The sequence below is a fragment of the Homo sapiens genome, chromosome 12 (genome assembly GCF_000001405.40).
Source record: "Homo sapiens chromosome 12, GRCh38.p14 Primary Assembly".
Taxonomy (NCBI): domain Eukaryota; kingdom Metazoa; phylum Chordata; class Mammalia; order Primates; family Hominidae; genus Homo; species Homo sapiens.
The window spans coordinates 16,532,595-16,558,500 of NC_000012.12; the positions used below are offsets into that span (position 1 = coordinate 16,532,595).

General features: G+C 36.1%; 2 protein-coding genes across 17 annotated transcripts in view, besides 1 other annotated feature; one reads left to right on the forward strand and one right to left on the reverse strand.

Annotated features, from left to right (window-relative positions):
* Positions 1 to 25,906, forward strand: part of MGST1 (microsomal glutathione S-transferase 1) — a 246,217-nt gene that overhangs the window by 185,480 nt on the left and 34,831 nt on the right. The window lies entirely within an intron of this gene.
* LMO3 (LIM domain only 3) overlaps positions 15,778 to 25,906 on the reverse strand; it is a 61,803-nt gene continuing 51,674 nt past the window's right edge. For all 16 annotated transcript variants that reach the window (NR_045014.1, NR_045013.1, NR_045012.1 and 13 more), the window contains one exon: positions 15,778 to 18,733. Coding sequence is in view for 13 of the 16 variants with exons in the window: in XM_006719111.3 (XP_006719174.1) it covers positions 18,628 to 18,733 (106 nt within the window). In the remaining 3 variants the exon portion in view is untranslated. The remainder of the gene's footprint in view (positions 18,734 to 25,906) is intronic.
* Positions 18,337 to 18,838: an enhancer, noted in NCBI's record as "NANOG hESC enhancer chr12:16703865-16704366 (GRCh37/hg19 assembly coordinates)". NCBI's record gives its function as "activates a minimal SCP1, AML or CMV promoter by ChIP-STARR-seq in primed H9 embryonic stem cells {active_cell/tissue: H9 hESC(primed)}" and the evidence as "EXISTENCE:reporter gene assay evidence [ECO:0000049][PMID:30033119]".

Here is a 25,906-nt window from a genome sequence, read left to right on the forward strand (position 1 = left end):
ATTAGGGACAATAGCCATTTTAACTACACTGAGTTGGAGTGTTCAGGGGTACACAAAGCGTTCGTCTCTATCCCAGGTTTTTATTGCAAACCTGGAATTCTGCAATTTCCAGATGGCAGATTGGGTAAACATATTTTCCTTCTCTCCATTGCATACTACCTTAGCATTTTGACAAATCTGCTGTTTCATGTAATGCATTTTTTTTAAATTTTACATTCCTCATACAAAACAATACTGAAAGAACTAAAACATGGCTCTTTTGTCTTAATATTCAGAGTTGCTTTTGTACCAAACTTATGTAATAACATGTGGCTCACCTAGGACCTGCTCCAAATCCCAGGAGAGATTATTAACAAAGCTAATAAGAAATATCTTTTTGTTGAATCTCAGGTGAAGCTAAGGAAAACATGTGAGCATAGCTTGGGACCTTTCGCCTTCACAGAACCTCCCTCTTCCTCCTGCCACTTTAAACCAAAGCTGTTGAGTTGAGCTGACTATACTTTCTTAACTAGTATTTAAAGAGTCAGTCTGATTTTCTGGTTTTGCTTCATTTTGTTTTGTTTTAATGAAGAAAGAATTGGCATGTAAAAGACAGAGGACTCTCATTTTTGTTCATTTCACTAGAATTATGGATAATCTGGTATTCCACTTTAATATTCATGTGTCGGGGAAAATGTTAAAGGTGAGGCTGTACACACCTCATAGTAGCCTCTGGATGTGTTAAAAAGAGGCTGTACACCTTGATTTGTGGAATCAGCATCGCCTGTAGCCATATCATTTAGGCCAAGCAGCTGGGAGGCTCAGCCAACCATTTGTCTCTCTGGGTTCTCCTGGAAACAGGAACATCTGCTTTTCTATGAGTTATACTGTAAATTGAGCCTTGCTTTTTTCTCGGTTAATTTTTTCCTACATTTTCTTCTTCAAGCTCATCAGGCTCTTTGGAACCTTTCTGAATAGTTCAGTCATAAATTACTTATCTGGAGATTCCAGGATTGTGTTAATATTCTAGGATGGTAAACTGCATTGTCCAACTGATTGATTGATTAATGAAGCATTTGTGCCATTATGTGCCAGATATTGTTATAGATCCTAGAGGACTTTTAAGGCACTTACAGTCTAGTGGGGGATGCAAAAAAAAAAAAAAGTTTGTGATCAATTACTCACAGTAACGTGAATGTGGTGGTAAACAAACACTGACAAGGGTGTATCTAACTCGGGCTTGCAGGTTAGAGAAGCTTTCCCACAGCAATTTCTTTAGAGAAGGTACCTGGCAGGTGAGTTAATGTTTGCCGGGAAGAGAAAATAAACAGGATATTCCAGGCAGAGGGAACAGCATAGGTAGGAACAGGAGGCATCATAGAACATGGCTATTCAGGAATAAGGGAAAATGCAGTGTGGCTGGCGCATGGTTTATTACGGTGAGGTGGAAGATGAGTCTGGAAAGGTAGATGAAGCCATGCATGTTATTTTGGGATGTGGAAAAACTATAGAATCTTTTAACTGAAGGCAGTGGGATATCAACTCAAATTTAGACACTATTTAGCTTACTTTTCCAAACAATAAAAAATCATTGATAAAATAAGACAAAAGAATAACTATAAATGATGCATAAATACAATCAATAACCTTTATGTAGTAAATAAGGTAATCTGGAGGAAAGTACTATGAAACACATATATTCGATATGCACATTTGAGATAAAAGGTATTTGTTAGAGTATGATGTTTCCTCCCCAAATTCTTTGGCAATACTATCTTTTCTATAATGGGCATTTTCCTCCTCAACACAGTCACTGATTCAAACAAAACATCTGCAACCATCACTGGCTGGATTCCCACCACTAGGTGCATTTCTAATGTGCTTTTCATTTATCTTTTTATTGTGTATTCTAGGGGGCTGCATATAGTAAGGGATGGCACATGAAACACGGGGCTAAATGTTCCCTTATGTATTGTGTGTAGCAGGGATAAGGATGCCTATTTAAAGAGCTAGAAAATGATCTTGACATATTTAATAATATATAATCTGTAATTTTTAATCCCGGAAATAGACTTGCAGGACAATAAAATGGGCTTTGGGTTTTTATTTTTCTAGACAATAACCTTTTTTAAAAAATGTGAGATAGTGCTAGGTTTGGTAGAAGCAATGGGAAATGATAATGATTCTCAACTTGAACGTTCTTTTTTATTTCATCCTATAATAACATGCTAGGCAATCAATTGGGAAATGCATTTGTACCATCCAGCATTGATCTATTCTCCCAGGCCTTGTAAGCCAGGCTGCCATATCCTGAACACTACCAAATCTGATCAGAAATGTAAGTCTAAACTACTTGTGGGAGAGATGGTTCTCGGGTGCTGCTCTTCACCCCATTTACCTTCACGTATTTTTGTTGTCCTTACTTTGAAAATCCAGATCCCAGCTCATGACACTGAGTGCAGTGCCTGCCTCTGGTCCCCCTTAGGGTTTGACTCCCTTATAGGCACCATTTCTGGTTCTCTTCTTATCCAGCATTTTAAAAATTCTGCTTCCATCTTTTACTTTAGTCTCCCAAATGCCTTAATTAACTCCTCCTCTTATTAGCTTCTAGCCACTAGCCCACTCTTCAGCTTTACCAATTGCTCACCCTAGGGTGGGATCCAAAAGGACACAAAACTGAAAATTATACCTAAAGGGTGGTCATCAATGAACAAGTGGCCTCCGCGAGAGTTAGCTGTGGGCTCAATGTATAATATACACAGCTGGCTGACAAAAGACAGAGCTTGCAAAACAGGCCTGGGAAAGGTAATGATATTTAGAAATTTGGGGGACCTACTAAGAATTATAAAGAGTTTTAGTATAAGTAGAAGATAACTCACAATTGTGCTGGATCAAGTTCCAGCATGACGGATATGGACATTCATGTTTGCTTGCGACAAAAACAGAGATAGTCAAACTACACAAACACCATGGGGATTCCCCAGTTACATGCAGGAAAATACTTATGGTCTATAGTGGAACCATGCAAACTGCCAATGAATTAGTAAAGTTGCAGTTTTCATTAGAAAAAAGTATGATATTGATATATATAAAGCAGCAACAATATAAATCGTGGTCCTCATTAGCAATGGCTCTTAATATATTTCCCACCAGGCAGGCTACTCTGCCCACAACCAAAAATATGTGTCAAAAGCATCAAAAATGTTCAGAAGAAAGCCTCCAAGATTATATAAATTTTGGAAAAGAAGACCTTTGAGGAAAGGTCAAAGATTGGGGATTATTCTGGATGAGAAACGATTTTGAGATTATCTATGAGTATTTTAAGTTTCTTATTCAGAGAACAGTTGATAAGCATTTTTTATCTACCACTACCAAAGGCTAAAAGTGAAACACAAAGGATTTAGGCTTGAAAGGAGAAATGCTGGGTGAAGAGGGCTGTCAACCATTGGAAGGGTTATTTAGTCTCCTCCTAAAGCCTGAGTAGAATCTCAGTAACTTGGTGTGTGTGAGTGTGTGTGTGTGTGTGTGTGTGTGTGTGTGTGTGTCAGGTGAGGAGGAGTAGGGGAGTTTCTTGTCTAAAGGCCAGGAATACACTAGCTGTTTCTCTTATTAGGAAGTCTATGAGATATAATTGAAAGAGTTAAAAAATTATTTTAACCATTTAGATTTATACGCTGACTTTGAAGCAGGACAATAAGTAATCTGTAACACTGATATATTACCATCTGTCATTGTATTTCATGTGGTTCACTGTGTATGAAAAAACTACGTGGATAAATGAAATCAAAAATTTCAGAATTATCAATTCTATCTAACTGTAGCCCCAGTAGTCTTTTAGAAGAACAAGTGGAAGAAATGGTTTTGAGAGAAGTAAAGACAGTAAAGAATGGTACTTGAAATCATTTAGAACTGAAAGAAATGTTGGTAATTCTGGTTAGAATTCTGTTTTGGCACTAAGTAAAAAGGCAACCTTGAAATGACAATGTATTTGTCCATTTTCATGCTGCTGATAACGACATACCCAAGACTGGGAGGAAGAAGAGGTTTAATTGGACTTACAGTTCCATATGGCTGGGAGGCCTCAGAATCATGGTGGGAGGTGAAAGGCACGTCTTACATGGTGGTGGCAAGAGAAAATGAGGAAGATGCAAAAGCAGAAACCCCAATAAAACCATCAAATCTCATGAGACCTACTCACTACCCTGGAACAGTATGGGGGAAACTACCCTCATGATTCAAATTATCTCCTACTGGGTCCCTCCCACAACATGTGGGAATTATGGGAATACAATTCAAGATGAGATTTGGGTGGGGACACAGAGCCAAGCCATATCATTTCACCCTTAGCCCCTCCAAATCTCAAGTCCTCAAATTTCAAAACCAATCATGCCTTCCCAACAGTCCCCCAAAGGCTGAACTCATTTTGGCATTAACCCAAAAGTCCACAGTCCAAAGTCTCATCTGAGACAAGGCAAGTCCCTTCTGCCTATGAACCTGTAAAGTCAAAAGCAAGTTAGTTACTTCCTAGATACAACGGGGATACAGGTATTGGGTAAATACAGCTGTTCCAAATGGGGGAAATTGGCCAAAATAAAGGGATTACAGGGCCCATCCAAGTCTGAAATCCAGTGGGGCAGTCAAATTTTAAAGCTCCAAAATTATTTCCTTTGACTCCATGTCTCACATCCAGGTCATGCTGATGCAAGAGGTAGGTTCCCATAGTCTTGGGCAACTCCACCCCTATGGCTTTGCAGGGTACAGCCCCTCTCCTGGCTGCTTTCATGGGCTGGTTTTGAGTATCTGTGGCTTTTCCAGTAGCATGGTGCAAGCTGTGGGATCTACCATTCTGGGATCTGGAGCATGGTGGCCCTCTTCTCACAGCTCCACTAGGAGGTGCCCCAGTATGGACTCTGTGTGGGGGCACCAACCCCACATTTCCCTTCCGCACTGCCCTAGCAGAGATTCTCCATGAGGGCCCTGCCTCTGCAGCACACTTTTGCCTGGACATTCAGGCATTTCCATACATACATTGAAATCTAGGTGGAGGTTCCCAAACCTCAATTCTTGACTTCTGTGCACCTGCAGACTCAACACCATGTGAAAGGTGCCAAGGTTTGGAGTTTGCACCCTCTCAAACCATGAGCTGAGCTGTACCTTGGCCACTTTTAACAACAGCTGGAGCAGCTGGGATGCAGGGCACCAAGTCCCTAGGCTGCACACAGCATGGGGATCCTGGGCCCAGCCCAGGAAACCATTTTTTCCTCCTAGCCTTCCCGGTCTGTGATGGGAGGGGCTGCTGTGAAGACCTATTGCATGCCCTAGGCACATTTTCCCCATTGTCTTGGAGATTAACATGTGGCTCCTTGTTACTTATGCAAATTTCTGCAGCCAGCTTGAATTTCTTCTCAAAAAATGGGTTGTTCTTTTCTACTGCATCATCTGGCTGCAAATTTTCCAAACTTTTATGCTCTTTTTCCCTTTTAAAATGGAAAGCTTTTATCAGCATCCAAGTCACCTCTTGAATCCTTTTCTGCTTAGAAATTTCCTCTGCCAGATACCCTAAATTATCTCTCTCAAGTTAAAAGTTTTGCACATCTGTAGGGCAGGGGCAAAATGCCACCATTCTCTCTGCTAAAACACAGCAAGAGTCACCTTTGCTCCAGTTCCCAAGTTCCTCATCTCCATCTGAGACCACCTCAGCCTGGCCCTTATTGTTCAAATCACTATCATCATTTTTGTCAAAGCCATTCAACAAGTCTCTAGGAGGCTCTAAACTTTCCCACATTTCCTGTCTTCTGAGCCCTCCAAACTCTTCCAACTTCTTCCTGTTACCCAGTTCCAAAGTCGCTTCCACATTCTCAGGTATCTTGTCAGGAACGCCCCACTCTACTGGTACCAATTTACTATATTAGTTCATTTTCACACTGCTGATAAACACATACCTGAGACTAGGAAGAAAAAGACATTTAATTGGACTTACAGTTCCATATGGCTGGGGAGGCTTCAGAATCATGGCAAGAGATGAAAGGCACTTCTTTTTTTTTTTTTTTTTTGAGACAGAGTCTCGCTCTGTCACCCAGGCTGGAGTGCCGTGGCGAGATCTCGGCTCACTGCAAGCTCCGCCTCTGGGGTTCACGCCATTCTCCTGCCTCAGCCTCCTGAGTAGCTGGGACTACAGGCGCCCACCACCATGCCTGGCTAATTTTTTGTATTTTTAGTAGAGACGGGGTTTCACTGTGTTAGCCAGGAGGGTATCGATCTCCTGACCTTGTGATCCACCCACCTCGGCCTCCCAAAGTGCTGGGATTACAGGCATGAGCCACTGCACCCGGCCGAAAGGCACTTCTTACATGGCAGTGGCAAGAGAAAACGAGGATGATACAAAAGCAGAAACCCCTGATAAAACCATGCGATCTCATGAGATTTATTCACTACCATGAGAACTGTATGGGGGAAACCACCCCCATGATTCAAATTATCTCCCACCAGCTCTCTCCCACAACATGTGGGAATTATGGGAGTACAATTCAAGATGATATCTGGGCGGGGACACAGAGCCAAACCATATCAGACAACTTTATTGAAATTAATATGGTGGGTTAGGGTAACATATAATCTATCACTCTGAACTCCTTAATTTCTTAATCTTTGTTTCCCATCAACTTCAGATTAAATTTAATATTTTAAATAAGATTTTTACATTTGAGAAGGTAAAATGTACCCTACGATTTTAACAGGTTGTCTGAGTAATACAATTTAAAGAGTAAGGGGGTATTACATTTACCACCCAGGTACACAAATACTTAATTTCCATGGTATCCTAATCATAAATTTTCTTTTAAATTATAAATACTTGTAATTCCATGTTCTATCCCAAGATAATTTCAATGCAATGAGTCTAAAACTCATCTTCTTCCACAACAAATGACCACCTCCTCCTGTATTGACTGCCTCCTAAGTGTCGTGGAGGTGTACCTTATCTCTAATTCTGCTACTCTATTTGCTTAAGTATACCCATATTTGTCAACTGTATCAGCTGGTCCCCACCGTATAATGTCTGCCGACTCTACCCCTGCTTTCATAAGGCCACCAGATTGAACATCCTAAAATGTAAACCTGATCATGCCTTCCCCTGTGTTGTAAGTTTTAACAGGCTCCTCATCTTCTGTGTCAGTGGTCTTCATGTCTGATTGTTTTCCACTTATATGGAGCTCAGGGCATGACAACATACCAACTGAATCAAAGTACACACATACATATATTTTTAAAGATTTGGAGACTACTATTTCATAAAATAAACAAGGCCCTTCATCACTGGATTTTAATCTGCAACTCCTCTACATACTAGTTTAAGTTCCTTTAACATACTAAAACCTCTCATACTTGGAAGTCTTTGTGTGTGTTTGGAATGACTTTCCTTCCTTTCCCTAACCCACTGGAAGCACCATTTTTTACTGCTCAAGACTCAGCTGCTTTTCTCAGAATATATAGCTGACACTCTTAAAGTTGAGCACTCCTTCCTCCCTGCTCCCAGATTATCCATTCCAGACTTTAACAGCATCAATTTGCAATGGAGCTGTTTTGCCCTTGCTTTCCCCACAGATTGTGAGCTACTTGATCTTGGAGCCTTGATATCTCCTTCCTCTTCCTTCTCCACCCTTTTCTTTCCAGGCTCCTGGATTTGCACAGTGATTGGCATAATTTATTTTATTTTTTAGAGCCAGGGTCTTGCTGTGTTACCCAGGCTGCAGTGCAGAGCTGTGATCATGGCTCACTGAAGCCTTTACCTCCTGGGCTTAAGCGATCCTCTCACTTCAGCTTTCCGAGTAGCTGGGATTATAGGTGCACACCAGCTGGTGATTGGTGTATAAAAGGAACTGAATATGTGTTCTTAGATGCATAAGAAAGAAGAAAAGAGGATGAGATGAAATACTCTTGAGATGATGCTTTGGAAGTTTGCGAATTATTAAATTATCTTCTCTATAGACAGAGGAAGCTATAGCACTTGGCATCTGGACAGAGCGACATTTAAGATTGGGTTAGAAGGTTGTTATAAAATAAAAAATTGTATTTGAGGCAAGGCGTGGTGGCTCACGCCTGTAATGCCAGCACTTTGGGAGGCTGAGGCAGGAGGATCACTTGAGGCCAGGAGTTCCAGACCAGCCTGGGCAAAATGGTGAAACCCCATCTCTACCAAAAATACAAAAATTAGCTGGGCATGCTGGCATGCACCTGTAACCCCATGAGAATTGCTTGAACCCAGGAGGCGGAGGTTGCAGCAAGCCGAGACAGCGCCACTGCACTCTAGCCTGAGTAACAGAGCAAGACTCTCTCTCAAAAACATAAAAATAAAAATAAAGAAATTTTAGAGGGGCACAAGGTTAAAACCTGATTTTGGATTCACAACCAATAAAACCAAATTAATTGATTTCACAAATTTGTTATGCATATTTTAATACACACATATATTAGGGAAAAGAATGAAGTGGCAGACTGTTTATTTCTTCATGTAATATTTTAAAAACTAGACCTATTATCTAAAATCACAATACTTTCATTAAAAAGTCTATTTGTATACCAAGACAAGCAGGAAAAGTAAATATCAAATTAAATAACTTTTTTTAGTAAATACAATTGAGTAAAATACATGTAAATATTATCTTTGTTTTTCTTTTTTTTCCCTGCAAACAGAGGAAAAACTTCATAGATTAGAAATGATCTTCAGATAGGATTTGGAAATAGGCAGAAAGACTTTCAAAACTTCTTTTATATCTAAGGCAAGGATCTGACATTATCTCCTCAAGGTGAAATACCCTTGAATGGCCTGACATTTGCACAATGGCTTTCTTTTTGATCTGTCTGTAGTTCTAACTAATTACTTGAAAATACCTTTGCTATTTCTCTGCATCCTTTTTCCTATATTGTTTTATGACAATCTAATAAGAACTAAGCCTTCCCCACTAACCATACACAAAATTAGACAAATTGTAACATTCTAATGGAAATACTAACTTTACATTAAAAAGTTAGGGTAGAGTTTTGGGATTATGCAAGATCAGAGAGAAGATAAAACAGATACCAGAAACTATTCTCAGGTCTCTTTTTTTTCAAGGATTATGGTTTCTCATGTGATAGGAGAGAGCCAGATTGGAAGGAGAAGTGACGACATCATACTTCGGGCTTTTATAATGGACTCTGCAAAATTTCCCTTCTTTAAATCAGGCTAAGTAAGAATATCAGAATACAATGTGTCAATAAAATTCGTAAGTTTCGGTAAGCCAAGTATATCAGGCAGGGGTTGCTTTTGACTACATGTAACAGAAACCCAACCAGAGTAACAAAAGTAAGTCAGTCATGGTGACAAGATGCCCAGAGATAGCCTAGACAGTCCAAGTTCAAGTCTGTTTAAGTCCGCCCTGCTGCAGTGGCCCCCAAATCATCAGTGGACCTTTTAGTTTGTGATTTCATTCTCTTGGTCATCTGTGCTTTAGATGGTTGGTCCACCTCTAGTTTTCATTTGCATTTTTCAGGCAAGAGGAAGGAAACAATAGCAAAGAGAGTAATTCCTACATCTGGAAAGATTCATAAATCCTCCATTGATTAATTTTCATCAATTAAAATGGTGTGAAATGGCTATTCCTGGATGCAAGAAAAAAAGCTATGAAATAGAAACCCTTTGATTAGGCACAACACTGGTCCATATGCTGTTAGTAAGAATAAAAGAAAGAAAATATATTGAGTGGACAACTAGCAAGTTCTGCCACTCTAATCAAAAGCATTTATTTATGTCATATTTGTCCTTAAAAGCCCAAAGAATTTTTGAAACCGGAATACAACTGCACTTTCACTTGAAATATGGCATTCCTCATATCCAGGGAGTCATCGAAGAACATACATTTCTTATTCCCTCTTTTGTAAGTCTGTTTGCTACATTAGCTATAATAATTTAGGGTAAAATTCTCAAATCTCAGAGTCATACTTGACCCTTCTTCATTGTTCCTTTCACGTTCAGTCAACTACCATTTTTGGTAAAATTTCCTCTTCTCCATTGCTATTTCCCATTCTTTTCATTCTGTAATGGCTACTATGCAATGTAGATGCTTAACTCTTTCTTTGGTTTTTACCAAGCCGTCTTGACTAAACTATCAACATCCTCTCTTGTCTCTCCCCGAGGCCACCCTGTATTCCAGTTGGAGTAAATCTTCTTGAACTTTGGCATTAGTTATGCTATATATCTGTTCAACATCTGTGATGGCTTTCTCTCTGTCAGATAGATGAGTCACCATGAAACTAATTGCTAGTAAACTTAGATTAGGGGTGGTCTCTATACAAACACCCACATTCCCTCCATCCTCTGATGGTTCTTCAAGACTAAAGGTAAATGTCAATTGTGATGCCTTTTCTAATGTGCCCAGACAGAATAAATCACTTCCTCCTGGGTGCTCCCCCAGTGCTTTGTAGATATCTCTACTTCCTCAGTTATTACCTGTTACCTTCTGTGTTAACAGTTGTTTGCCTGTCTTCCTCAAGTGCAGGGACTCTTCATTACATTCCTCACAGAACATGGCTGAGAATCTGACATGCAGAAGGTGCCCAATAAATGTCTGAATGACTCACTACATGAATATAGTGATTACTGAGTTCATCTTGCTAAATATCAGAAGCAGAGGCTTCCCCAGTATAAATGCTAGACACATACATGGAACTCAAAACAAATTTTTTTTGAGACCAAAAGAAGGCAATTAAAAAAATGCTTTACCATCCACTATCTCTGACTACGGCCTGAATCCTCAATTTACTGTCCTCTTTGAATCTCAGTATTTCACTTAGAAGAAATTGCCTTGTTTGCTTGTTGAGTGCTCATCTGTAATTGTTATTATTTGGCCCATGTCTACCTAATGGAGCATAAACCATGCCTGATGCTCATCCAATGCAGATTAGCACATAAATGACTCTTAGAGAATTTGAGATTAATAAAAATAATAGTGGTACTAATAACTTGAACACTATGTATCAGACATTATGTTAAATGCTTGCCTTAGATTGTTTCATTTAATCTGCAATAAAATGCTGTAAAGTAGGTATTACCTCCATTTTACAGATGAGAAAACTGTTACTAATATAAAGCTAAGTAATATTTTCAAGATCATTTTCTGCCTGATGGCAAAGCTGATGTTGCTAACCAAGATGTTCACAGTCTCAAACAGTTTCAATGGGAAAAATGTAAGGGTGAATTGAGACTAAGAAAATTGTGTTTTGAGTTAAACAGTAATCAAGCTAACCTTAAAAATAATAACTAAAATATAGTCTTGTCAAATATCCTTAATTAAGACTGGGGATAAATTCTTAAGTCATCATCTCAGCTGTTGACTTATTCTTCTGTTTCTTTATTGACATCTCAGTGTCCAACTAGTGTAAAACACTCATACTCTTCCTAAGTGTAAGCAGGTGATTTCTTATACTGCTGCTTTATACACATTTGTTTGGTCGCTGCAGTTTTCAGGTTGAGTATTCCTTTCTGGAACAGTTCACAGCATCTTACTGTGCTGCACTGCGTTTTTCTCATGCCTTTTATTTTTGGATTTCTGGTTTTCTAAGGTATTGTCTTTCAAAACAAACTTTTTAAATTGACACCTTAAGTAAGAACTACACACACACACACACACACACACACACACACACACACACACAAAACATAACCTACTAGTCAATCTGCCTGCATTGCATCAGGGTCTATAAAAGCTATGGGTCCACAATTGTACTCAAAAGGGGAAGAGTTAATGTTAATGCATACAAAAGAGTTGTCATACAAAAGAGAAAAAGCCAAATATGATATATGTGGCTTGTTTCTTCTATTGAATGTGTATTTACTTATATAGCATCAATTTGTATTCATCTCTATTTTCTAAGTAGATAAGATTAAATGTAAATGTAGAGAATTAAGTCAAACCATGCCAAGAACACAAAGTGCTAATCAATACAATTGGGAATGCATTATAATCAGTTCAGAAGTGGTCCAGTAATTTGTGTGAGAAAAAGAATTAGCCAAATATCTAACAGGAAATTTGACTACATAGGTTCAAGTCCTTATTTCTGAGGGGACAAAAATATCAAAATAATCCTATAGCTTATAATGAGATACTAAAATCGCATACATACTATTCTAGTCAATTTGGGAAAAAGCACTGGGTTATGAAAAATTATAACCTATATGAAAGACTTGGAATTATGAAAGTTCCATTGATGTGATAGGGAGGATGACTATTAAATTATCGGCTAACTTGATGTGCACTGGCTGAAGTTTGCATCATTTTGGACAGCATAGCTAGTTCTTGTGCCCCAACCAAGGTTCATATCGTCAATAACACAGATCCTGTAAGTTTAGCAAACACACTATTTTCTAAATTTTTAAAGGAATTACTAATCTTAGAAAGATATAAAACAAATATAGAAATTTTAAATTAAAGTAATATTTTTCTTACAGCTTTAAGTATATTTAAAAAATGGCCCATTGTGAGAATTTTTGTCTGTTTTTAAAGTACTTGAAACTTATTACATGGGATTTTAGTAAAATGTTTAGAAGAATTAGACTAAGATTCTAATCAATGTTTAAATGGTTGAATCTGATTTATTAAATTTACAAGTTTTGCTTTATTAGCTGCTTAAATGGTGTTCAAATGTTGAGATAAATTGTATTTATTAGGGTTGTATGTTTAATAAATTGGGCATTAAACAAAGAATAAGTAGCAGCAAACATTATATTTTATGCACCGATGTCTCTCAGGCAAATAACACTTAAAGAGGACTGGTATGCTGCTACACACAGGGTGGGTGCCCACAGTTCTGACATATATAGTTTTTCTAGGGCCTTTAATTTTTTTCATCTCATCTTCTGGAAGTTTTAAAATATCAAAGACAAATAACATACTCATTCTGGAAGTAATACCAAAGACAAATAGTATACTTGTTGTATTATCTTGATTCTGAGACTGTAGCCTCACATTATTATGGCATATTTATCCTTATGCTGAAACTCGCAACTTTTTACTTCAGTGTACCCTCACGTCGATGCTGACCACTCTTGTTTTCATTACTGCTATATGAAGAATCCTCTATTCTTGGTACCCTAGATTTACAGGCTCAAATAAATGCCTTCATGTTATGGTTGAAAGAAAGAGCTCCCAAACAGATTGCATCTAGAAAAATATAATCACTCTCATTCCCAATTTTTATCTTTAAAGATAATATTAACTCTGATATGTTTGGAATTTTTGCTCAAGCATAAATAACTCCTAGTTCTTGGCTATTCCCAGGAGCTAGAAAAAATAATAGTGACAATAATAATGACAACAATATAAAAGATGATATGGTAGAGTGAAAAGCACTAGACCCAGAAAACTTGTGTTTAAATAGGCACACTACTTTCTGACTCTATGACCTTGGGCGAATTAAGTAACCTGGCTGTGCTTTCATTTTAATAGTACCTGTGTCACAGGGGTGTTGTGGGAATTACATGCGTGTGCAGAACTACCTGATACATGGCAATTGTTTGGTAAATATTCGCTATTATTACTAAAAGTTATTGAAGATGGGTCATATGAAAATGTTACCTGTTTCAAATGAACTGTTTTGCTTTAGGTGATTTAAACTCTTCTCCAGGAGCAGGGTGAAAAAAGATTTTGATTATGTATTATCTGAATGTCTCTTGTTCCCATTTTAATTTGTACTATGGCCACTAAATTTGGTATAGTTAATGCCAACCACTTTGCCCGTAAAGCCAAAATATTCTGTAATCACCCCGGTGATACCAATTTCGAGTATTCAGCTTCTGAGTCCAGAATACCAATTGTGTAAAAAGTGCAGAGAATTCCAATTCACTTTTGAATGTAATGATCTGAACCAAACACAAAACCTAGTTGATCCAAGATGATTTGGTCTTTATAATTTTGTGCATTACGTGATCTGCACGCCCAAAACAGGAGTATCTTTGAATTTAACATATTTTCCTTTTCAGAAAACAGAATTCTTTTAATTAAAAACATTTTTAAAAAGTTCAGTGTGTGTAATTGTTAACACCTGCTATGTGTTACCAACAGATGTTTCTTACTTACCTAAGGGAACTGTTGTAATTATTCTATAAGCTTATTGGAATGGCATTTACCAAGATAGTTGGGAAAGTTTAGTTGGTGACTTTTTATGTCAGGTTTGGTATTTTTTTAAATCCCTTCCCCTACTGCTGTCATTATCCACAAACCCACCCCAACCAAGCCTGCCAAAAGCAAAAAAATGTCATTTTGTGGTACCAAAATGCAAAACTGGCAATGATCATGCATATTTTAGTCTTCAGGAAAAGTTACTGAAATTAAATCGTGTGTATACTAAAGCGTTGTAAAATTGACTCAAGTGTTTTAGCAGCTATTCTTTGTACTGTTCAACACGAAAGTCTTACATCTTGATTATAAAAGTAAAAATATACCTTTCTGAATAATACTTTTCTAATAGCATGGCCTCAAAGGAAGCTCTAGTAAAAATGAATTTTCTTCATTTTTCTGGCCATTCATAAGGTTTTATAAACCCTAGGCATTCTGAAATCTTCGTTTATGATACTAATCACACAATTACCTACAGGCATGTGTTAAACTTGACACTGGTTTCAGCCAAATAATGGACCAGTTGCAAACAACGAATAAAGAGAGGCAGCTTCATTTATAACCGCTATTTCAACAGAGCTCTATTGTAATCATAGCAATCTGAGGGTGACTCATTAATTAATTGATGTTCTTTTTTATCATGTGCTATTGAGTTAATGAGTAATTTGTGTGCGATAATTCTCTGAACACATTGATTACTTGAGATATTTTCTGGGGCTTTCATATCAATAACATGCTGGAGAGGTAGAAGATGCTATTCGCTTTTGTGTGCTCATTATTAGCAGGTTGGAGATGAGCACAAACCAGTGCAAAGACATGTTAAAGTTATTTGATCTAGGCCAACCCTAAGTCTGCCCAACAGGAGGCTGAATGCTCAGGGAGAGGCCTGTCACATAGTAGGTGCGCAATAAATGTCAATTAAACTAATGACTATTAAATCTCTGCTTTCTATTACCTTAAATTACATTAAAACCACATTTAAAAAATATAACAATGTTTTTAAGAAAAAGTAATGATCAAAAAGGCTTTTGCTAAAATTGTATTTTGTGCTAATGGCCTATTACAATAAACATGCAGATTGTTTTTGCAACTTACTGAAGTGAACACTAAACATGTTTGGCCTACATAATTTCTACGAAACTGTTTAAGTGATGATTCAGAGAGTGGTTTGCCTAAAGTGATAGTTAAAAGGAAAACACTTTTGCATGGCATGTTTTACTACAGATATAATTTTCAGTGCCCTGTTTCAGTTAAGGTGCAACATCTCTTCTGTAAAAATGTAGAATTGAGTTTCCTGTTTTAATTCATTATACAGAATAGAAAATTTGAAATTTAATCTGACAACAGCAACAGAGTTGCTTTCAGAAAGATCACCTAAAATTTGTATAAATGTGCAAAATTACACCCAGCAATTGCTACCTTCATTTTTGAGAGTTTTATTTTCCCCATAAAAATAAATAGCGGTAAACGACCTAGCGCAGAGATCCTAAACATTACATTCAGAGAAACATTTGGGGTGCTTTGTCTATGCTTGTTATGACTTAGCTTTAGAAAGTAAATGTCCTTACACACCTTTTTTTTCTTTTCATGGACTTAACATATGCTTTCTAGAGATCATCTTAAATTTTGCCAATTAAGTGCAATCAAATAGTGTAACACCCCTTTTATTAAAAACATAAATCCAAATGTAAAAAAGTGAATGAAAGAATCCAGCAGATATTTATTAAGCAAGATGAAAGTGAAATTACAAACACAGGTCAACTTTTAAACTCAGCACTCTGTTGGAGTGGAGGTGCACGGTCCTTCATCATAGGCAGCCTATGCGAGATGCATCTTAGGAAGGGAGCTTTCGCTGCTCAGAAATCAAAGCTCCATCGGAGGTGTCCTACTGGAGGCATCAGACAACAAGCTAAATGACGTTAGGGCTACACAACACAAAGGGGAAAGTTGACAACAATTCAGGGGCTTTGAGTAGTCAAGACAATTAGCTTAGTACTTCAGGTCAATAAATGCTACAATTTATGGGCAATTAGCTGTAAAATGGCCTACAGCTGAAACACTATTCTTGTCTTATTTCACGATTTCATGGAGATTAAAGATAATCTAAACAGATTAAGGCCTTAATCTTTAATCCAGGTGAGTAATTTTGTTTGTAGTAAAAAGCATAAGAAATAATTCTCAGCATATTATGTAAAAGAAAAAGCAGTGAAAACCTTGTTTGGTCTTCCAGTGGCAAGGATAGTTGAACAACTTCAAGAAGCTGAGAGAAGTTTGTTCCCAATTTACAAGTATTTTGACATATAGATAAACAAAAGCAAAACCAGTTAAACCTTAAAAGATCATCTGAATAAGATCCTGACAATTATAATTTTACATCCATGTGAATTTCAAGCAATTGTTAATGGGGACCAGCAGGGCTGCATTAAGAAAACCACTTTTCACTGATCTCTCCCCCACATATTTTTAATTTGTCTTGCTTTGTTTATTTTGGTTATGCAAGTCCTTTCTCTTCATGAAACAAGTGTAAGGCTCTAAGGCTAAAATAATAGTTATTTTTGTGGGCCCCAAATAGCTACTTTTGAATTTCTTTCTTTAGTATATCTCAAATCTGGGGAACATGGAACTTGAAGACTCCTAACCATGAAGCATTTGGAAAAATACATATCATTCACTTTTCACAGAACCATTTTCTTAAAAATAAGAGGCAATATCCAGATTCACATGCATGTTCATAATAAAGCTTTGTTTTAAAACAAATCCACACCAGCATTATTTTCAGCTTAATATTTTGGCCCCAACCCAAGAATTCAGGTATAACATTTAATTTTCATCTGTAATGCATATATTGGAAGGACAAAATATATATGCAAATAACACTGGAAAATATTGTTTCCTATACAAGTGATCAAGAAAAAAACAAAGAAAAAGAAAACCCATAGCACTAAGTTTGCTGTAGTGAAAATATGGTTAACGGTGCCGTGCAAAATTAGATTTGTTGAAAAGTAGTTCTATTACAGGGAGCAAAAGCAAAGAAGCAAGTTTGTGGGCAACTCGGAAGAGGGGATCATATTCTCATTTCCTTAATTGTAATTTAAATAATCATTCTCCATAATTTCTCTTTCTAGAGCTTTCTTCTTTGTATGCTATCACGTAAGGTAGTACTATTTCACCTTAAAAAATGGAAAGACAAATTTCAGCCTAAGAATGATGTATTCTGAGTTGGCAATTACTTAAAACAATGAGAGAGTAAAACACATCAAACTTAAAGTGTTTACTTTTTGAACATTAAAATAAATGTCAGGTAAATACAGAAAAATATATAATCACTAGTTCTCAGCATTTTATCAATCCCTTTGTTTCTCTTCTTCTAGAAGATTCTATGAGCATTATGTTGCTCCGATCAAAAGTAACCTCACTACTCAAATACCATCATAGCTTCAATGTGCATTATAGTGATTTCAGTAGATTCACACTCAAATCTTTTCAGTGTCATACATTTATTAAGCCATAAAGTTATGAAACCCTCAGCTCTTGTGGAGAGATCTGGGCAGAATTTATACAAGAAGAAGTTTAATTTATCACTTAAAAATCATCTCATAATTGTGGTAACAGATTTTTAAAGTAACCCTTTGGAAAAAATTTTACGTGATACCCAAAGGCACTAGTTCACATAAGGGGTGTGGCTGAAAAAGCAAAACAAAGCCATTGTGTAAGTAAAGAGCACACAAAAAAAGGATATTAAAAGGAAACCTGTTAAGCTTTAAAGTTATTCTAAAAATGGCACTTTTCACGTTGGTATAAAATGAAAGTGCTTTAAGATGAAATTTTTATGTATTTTTTTAAAGCTGATTTTTAACCCCCTGAAAATAGGGGGTTATAACAAGAACACTGATAGACTCTAACTCATAGCGGCAATAAGTAGTGGATGTCACTAAAATGCTCTGTGTGTGTCTTTATTTTTTAGTATTTTTAATGTTGATAGACTTGCTTTATCTATCTGTGTATCATTAGTGAGATTTGCTTTTCAATTCTTTACTAGAAAGTTACAGCTCATTTAAAATAGCTGGTAAATACAGAAAGCATAAATATACAGTAAGTTTAAACACTGATTGTACTAAATGCAACAATACAAAGAAGCAAATGGAACACAAATGGTAACACAATAAAACTGTATTACATTTGTGCTTCAAATATTACAATACATTATATACAATAGTCCAAAATAAACATCTCATGCCAAGTGACACAAAAACGAATAGCAAGCAAAAAAATCCAGCCATATGTACATTACTTTTTTCTTTAATAATAAACATTCAACTCTGAACTGGGGCAATTTCACTACATACAGATGCAGTCCGCCTTTTATTCCATATAACCATCCTGCCTTCCTATATCTACGCTATTCAGTAGGTTCCTGTGTCAATTCTTATGTACATGTGGAGCAAAAAAGATAAAAGAATGTAGTGCTTTGTATTCTTAATGGGGTGATGTTGATAGATCAGCGAACCTGGGGTGCATAACCTTCTTTCATTAAACCTTCCTCGTAGTCCGTCTGGCAAAGGATCATGTTATTCTTTAGGAAAAATTTGTCTCCAACACAAAATCTGAAAATATTTTAAACAATAAAATGTGGTTAAGACCATTTCACTTGGATCTAGAAATTTGAAGATTTATTTTCCTATTAATAGTTTCGCATGGTAATTCCCTGAATCTGAAAACCTGGCTTAGACAGTTGTCTTCATTATCAGAATTAGACCATTTACCATTTACTTCATTTAATGAAATGTTGCACACATTTGAAATCTTGCCTTTGCATGCAAAAATTCTAAGGATATTGAGATAAACACTTTGGGCACCAAAGATGACTTGCTTTTTTTTTTTTTAAACCACACTGGAAAGAAAAAAAATAAAAAGAACTGATCTGTATTTACACCCATTAAAATAAAAGAAAGAATGATAATAATGTTTCACTGCAGTAATTATGGATGATTTCATCTCTGGCCATTTAGGCACTTAATAAAAAAGTAAAAGGCATTAAAATGAATCAAACAATTAGAAAATAGCCTATTTTAAAGCTTCCCATTTAAAGCTTTCTTTTACTCTGTTATTAAAATGTGATTAAATGTTAGTAATCTAGAAGTGATCATTCTGAAATGAAAGTTGCTCTAGCATCAGATTCTGATGCTGAGCCATTTTCCTTTGTTTGTGGCAAGTTCACCAACATGAAATAGTAGATGTCATTTCTTAGAGCACTTCCAATTCAACCAAAGGGAGTAACCTAAATGAACTACTTAATATTGATGTGATAAACTAAACTAGTTTCCAATAGCTAATTATGCATTTTATTTCATAAAGCATTGTTTAATGTGCAAGACTGCAATGTTTTTAATAAGTGTTCTTTCTGTATGATTTCCCCACGGTGACACTTTGGACACAATTAAGGTCAGAAATAAATGTTTTTTCTGTTTCTGGTACATTTAACAATAAAGTAACTCTGGGGAGATCTGTATATATATTTAATTGTAACAATTTAACCTTCAAATAGTGGTGTCTGGTAGAGTTGACCCAGTAAAACTACTTGTAATTATACAAGTTGACCTCTATGACCTTTGATAGTAGTCTCTCTTTATCAGATAGTCAATTTCAAATGATGTTCCAGCAGAAATCTTAGTGGATAGATTAAATTGTGTAGTGAAAGCCACCCTTTAATGTTTTGTGAAGTTGAAGGTTTAAATGAGGAGCAGTTGGACTGATTTACATTTGCAAAGATTGGAATGCTAGACAAACAGTGAACCTATTTTTTTCCAACTGGGTAGCTTTGGAAATTTATCCTTATACTAGCTAAGTAGATAGAGAGGAAAATAGTGTAATAAAAAAAGTAGACTGAAAAGAATTAGCTTTCCTCTTAAAGGAAAATTGGTCTATTTGTGGAATTTACTTTTTTTCCCCAGGATTACTGCCTGCTGATGATGTTGATTGAAAGCACAGACTATGCACTGATCTTGAAATCCTAGGGTTGTTTGTGGTCAAAGCTACTGGATACAATGAACATTCAAGTTTGGGGCTTTAAGTATATTTTCTTTGTATTAGTTGTAACCTGTATACTTTAAATGTTGCACTTCAATAATGGTGTTTGTGCAAGCCAGTTTGATATCCTTATCAAATGAAAAGTGTCTGAAAGGCAGAGAGGTATACTGCAACCAGTAGGGTCCAAACTCTACCTTCCCACTTATGATAATTGAAAATAAAACTTTGGTTTTTAATACCTGTGACATCAGTCGACTTTGTAGGCTTGTGGCAAGGAGTAGAAATGAAATATCTAAAATCTTACCTCAATGTTTGAAACATAGGTAAAATAGCCACCTTTTTATGCTTACCATGTGCTAAATGCTAAGCATGTATGTACATGATCACATTTATTCCCTACATCCAACCTAGAAAGTAAGCATTGTCATGGCTTTTTACAGAAGAAAAACCTAAGACTCCGTGCCAGAATTTCAAAGCCCTGCCCAAGATTCTGTAGTTAAAACGTTTATAGTAAAGGAAGAAAAATAACCCAGGCCTTTTTGGATTCAAGACTCAAGCTTTTACCTGAGGGCAGTAAAGCATGCAGGCTACAAGAATAATGTGAAGATTAAATGGTTATACAGGGTGTAACTGTGTTTTTTGTATTACTATTATTTCTTTTGCATAACTTTAAAAAAGTCTGCCTACTATTCAATTAAGTGGTATATATAGAGCAACAGAGGCAGAGCGAGAGAGAGACAGAACTTTTCTAAAATATTCCTACCTGACATATTTTATTACTAATATGTTATCAACTGGATAAAGTGCATTTTATATGCATTTCAATTTATACTTAAAGGTCAAGATGAAACGAACATGGATGAGGGATGTCACACTTGCACATATGACTCAAACAAAACAGCCTTGAAAGCTGTGGTTAAGAGCAGATTACGACTGGTATGCAATTAAGGTTGACATCCTCTTTAAAAAATGCTTCATATATAAATATAAAGAAATTTCAGAGACAGCAATACAGATAGTATGTATTTAACAAATTAATCTGTAACTGTGATTTTGTAAGAAATGCTAATTTCCAGTGTGATTTAACCAACTTCTTATGAGATTCAGCATTTGCAGGAAAAAAAAAAAAAAGCATTATGAAAGGAGTGATAGCCAGAGGATACTGTAAGTATATTAACAGGCTACAATTACTAAAAATAAACATAATCTTTCTTGTAATCTGACCCTAATTACTTGTAGTATGCTCAGTTCAATTAATTTTACCCTCATTTAAAAAAATTATGGTAAGGAATAAGAAGATGCCCAATTAGATTATTAAACCATCTAATTCTGATGTTTTGGAATTAATATGAGATGTAATTTCTAGATATTTTTGAGTGATTTAGCTGACTTCATATAGTCTTAGAGACTTGAGAAGTATATGAAACAAGTGTAAATAGTAAATCATCCTTATAAAATATAGTGCTTAGTTTTAAGCAGGTTATCAAAAGCCTATGCTAAGAAGCCTCCACTGGTAACATCCCTTTTAAGAAATAAAAATGTTAGCCTAGCCATCTTCTTTCCCTAATGTTAGTGACTGACAATTATGATTAATTTCTATCTTACAACACTTAGCTAGGGAGCTCCAATCCATATTTCTAGTGTCTATACTTTCCTATTCCACATCTTCAGTTAACTGTAAGTTAGAGATTTCTATACTATACTGTTTTCAATAAGAAGTCCGGGTTGTGTACTCATTCCTCCACTATACACCTGTGAACAAATTTACTGTCTTTCCCACTGACAGTCCGGTTGTCATTATACATCTCACTGCTAACAACCCTTAGTGTATCAAATGACACTACCCACACCCCAAATCTTGCTATACATTATTCAAAGTTTACCTTACTTTAAGTCCACTATATCTATTCACATTTATATGCTCTTAGTCAGAAAATAAAATACCTCTCTTGAAATGGGCCTGACTCCGGAGAGGGAGACCAGATTCGCTCCGCCTCCCGGGTTCCCGCCATTCTCCTGCCTCAGCCTCCCCAGTAGCTCTGACTACAGGCGCCCGCCACCTCGACCGGCTCATTTTTTTGTATTTTTTAGTAGAGACGGGGTTTCACCGTGTTAGCCAGGATGGTCTCGATCTCCCAACCTCGTGATCCGCCCGCCCGCCTCGGCCTCCCAAAGTGCTGGGATTACCGGCATTAGCCACCGCGCCCGGCCAGGTTTAAATCTTGAGTCTACCACTTTCTTCTAACTGTAATCTTGGGCAAGTTACTTACATTTCCTATACTTTACTTTCCTCATCTGTCAAATGAAGCTAATAACTACCTATTTATGGGATATTTTGAGTATTAAACGAATGAGTACATGTAAAACACTCAGAACGGTGTTTGGTGTTTGACTAATACTTTATCAGAATTTGCTATCATTATTATTTGGTAATGATAATCTTTTCACCTTTACTTAAGTTGTTCCCTAGCAAGAAATATTTCTCCCCTTTTTCTGTCTACTTAAATTGTAACAATCCTTGAGTTCCCATTGCCTCCATCAACATCTTCTGACCATGTAAATTTGCTTATTCTGATGTTTCCCAAAGCACTTATTTATTGGTGTATTGTTTATTTTGGTGTTTCAAAATTTCTCATGAATGTGTAACTGGTTTGCCATTATAGTCAGCAGTTCTGCGGTAAATGACCACGAGTTATATTTCTTTTGAACCCTTTGCAGAACCATCATAAACTGTACTACCACTTAAGGTGTGTGGTCAATAAAAATTGGTTAAGGTAGATTTATTCCAGAAACCAACAGCTTTAAATAACAAATGTATTTTAGATGACTAATTTAAATTTGTATTCATTTTGACTTTTATTTAATGGCTTTTCAAAGACTAAGTTTACAATTTCATTTCCTCTAGGTGCTTGCTCTCTTTCTACTCCTCCATGTGCCTACCAAACCGCTTCTCTAATCTCTGAACATACTGAGCCGCTTTTCATTTCCTAAACACGTCAAATGCTTTCACATCTGCATGCCTTTGCACGTTGCTCAATTTGCCTGAAAATTCCTTTCCTCACTGCTCCCTGGCTCCCTCATCTTCCCCAACCCCGAGCAGACACACTTCCTGTAAGTCAACCAGTTCTAGGGAGTTCTTTTTTCAAGACCCAGCATATCAGGCCTTTGATGCTTCCCTAACACTTCAAGAAGGATGGCTCTCTCTTCCCTCAGTATAGCTCTATTTAGCATCGATTACACTCTTCTGTGAGTCTTTGATGTCCTGTCTCTCCCGTAGCTCCGGACACCTCTAAGAAATAAACCAGATTTTATCCACCTCAGCTTCCACAGAGCCTAGCACAGTGCTTTATTCTTAAAAAAAAGAAAATTAATTAATTGTTACATAATTTTACATATTTGGGAAAATTTCATCACAAGCTTTTTATTTTTCCTTTTCTTACAAAACTATCATTTAGTTTTATTGTGTTTTCTAAGGAGAAGGGGCTTATTCACCTTTAAGAAATTAACCTGTTATATAGAATCTTCCAATTCTGAATGAGATTCAAGATATCATAAAATAAGCTTAAATAACCCTCCTGCGGTACCTTTTAAAATAGAGAAACTAGCCGAATTTTAATGCAGGATTCACGTTTTAGCTATACGCCTCTAAAAGGGGCAGAGGAGATCTATATATAAGGGACAATCAATCCTGAAAGGTTATTATTACTGCTACTTTTTAAAACATTCAGAAATGCTTTGGATCTTAATGATACTTTGATTTAAAGGTAAAGATGAAATGACTGCTGAATACAATTCACAAACGCGTAATTCCACAACTTTAGACGTCAATAAAGTTTGCTTAAGAGAAAATGCCTATGAATTACCTATTTGCCTTGTGTTTCACTTGAAAAGTGCAATATTGCGACAATGATTTGGCTACTGGAAGTGGGATATGGGTTTCCTGGAGGAGACTGAAGCAAACTTCAGAGTAAAAGGAGAATCTCCTATATGAAAACCTTCTGTATCCTGGGTAACAAAATTTGTCTGCTTTGCTTGACTGATGAAGATTAGCTGACTTCCCGCATTAGTTTGTCTTGTAGGGGCTGAAGTGACAAGACAATAACTAAGTGCTAATTGTGCATAACCGGCACTAAAGATATGCAGTCCCATTATGGCATGTAATAAATGAAGCGAACACAGAAATATATTAGGTACTTTAATAATGATACTAGAATAGTATTTCGCAGCAATAAGAATGTGAACAGTTTTAGAGTCAAAATTTAGGAGTGTTTGTCTTACTTGACTGAGTTCTCCTGAGGAGACAGACTTAATTGTGAATGCAACTTTTTATTTCAATGGTGAAATAAAATAGATATATGATTTGTAAATAGCATTAACAACCTACAATTACTTTGCATCATAATAGAATTTAGGCTGGGTTTAGCACTTGAATGTTTTTATTTTCTATGTAGAACATGGATAAAATAGGTAACCCTACTTAATAGAAGAAAATGGACAAAGGACATAAACTGCCTACTTCTCTAAAAGAAGGAATACCAAAGGACCACCAGGGATCAAATAAATGCCAGTTAGAAATTATAATGAAATACTATCTTTCATCCCTTAAGGTGGCAAGGATTTTTTTTTTTTTTTTTTAAACGTAATTCCTAGTGTTTTAGAATGAATGTGAGGGAATGCGTAGTTTTGTAGATTTCTGCTAGGAGAATAATTGGTATAACTTTCCTGGAGATCATTAAGCAATGTACAGCATATGCCTTCAAACTGTTATATACCTTGTTTAAGTAATCATGCTCTGTGAATTTAACCAGATAGAGATATGAGCATTTGTTTTTATACAATCTGAATATCTACATTTAGCAAGAAACTCTATTGTGATATATGTCTTGTGGGAAAGTCAAGTTAGTGGACTATTATTTGGTAAATTATAAAAATAACTAACTTTTGAGAACCAGTTGTGTTCCTGACATTTAACATAAATTATTTTATTGAAGTTTCAGACTCTGCAAGAGAGGTATTAGTGTTTCTATTTTGTAGGTGTGGGAATCAAATTCAGAGAGATTAAGTAACATACTCAAGATCACACAGTTAATATATCAGCTACTATATGGTGGTGCTGAAATCTGAATCTCTTCTCACTATAAATGTCACATTCTTTCTACTATTCTACAGGGTCTCATAAGGTCCATTTTTATATTGATAATACTGATAATATTTACAGCACAAAAACTTTTGAAGATACAACTTATATATCTGATGATAGAAGACATATGTGAAGCTCTGTCCATAAAGCTGAACTCAGAAAAGCTTAAAATATCTTAAAAGAATTTTTAATGGCAGGTAAAAAAGGCACAAAATATAAATTGAGTGAAAAAGTCCAAATATCAAACATTAGGATTCTCCCTTGTAACTTTAATTTGCTTAAATGTGAGTGTAATATTTATACAATGTCATTTGTCCTATAGACATAGGAACATGTATGGCTGGCTATATATCAAAATATTAAAATGTTTTCTTTTAGAAGAATGAGACATGGGACAATGTCTTGTTTTTATCATTTTCTATTTTCTAAATTTCCTACTATGAATATGTAATCTTTTATAAGTAGAAAAGCAATGACTTTATGATTCCATAATGGGAACTGCATGGTTACTGGCTGCTATTAGTTGATCAACATGACAAGTCAACAAAAGTATTCTAAATTTACTACTAAGACACCTTTAAAATGTATAAAATACATATATACATGCACA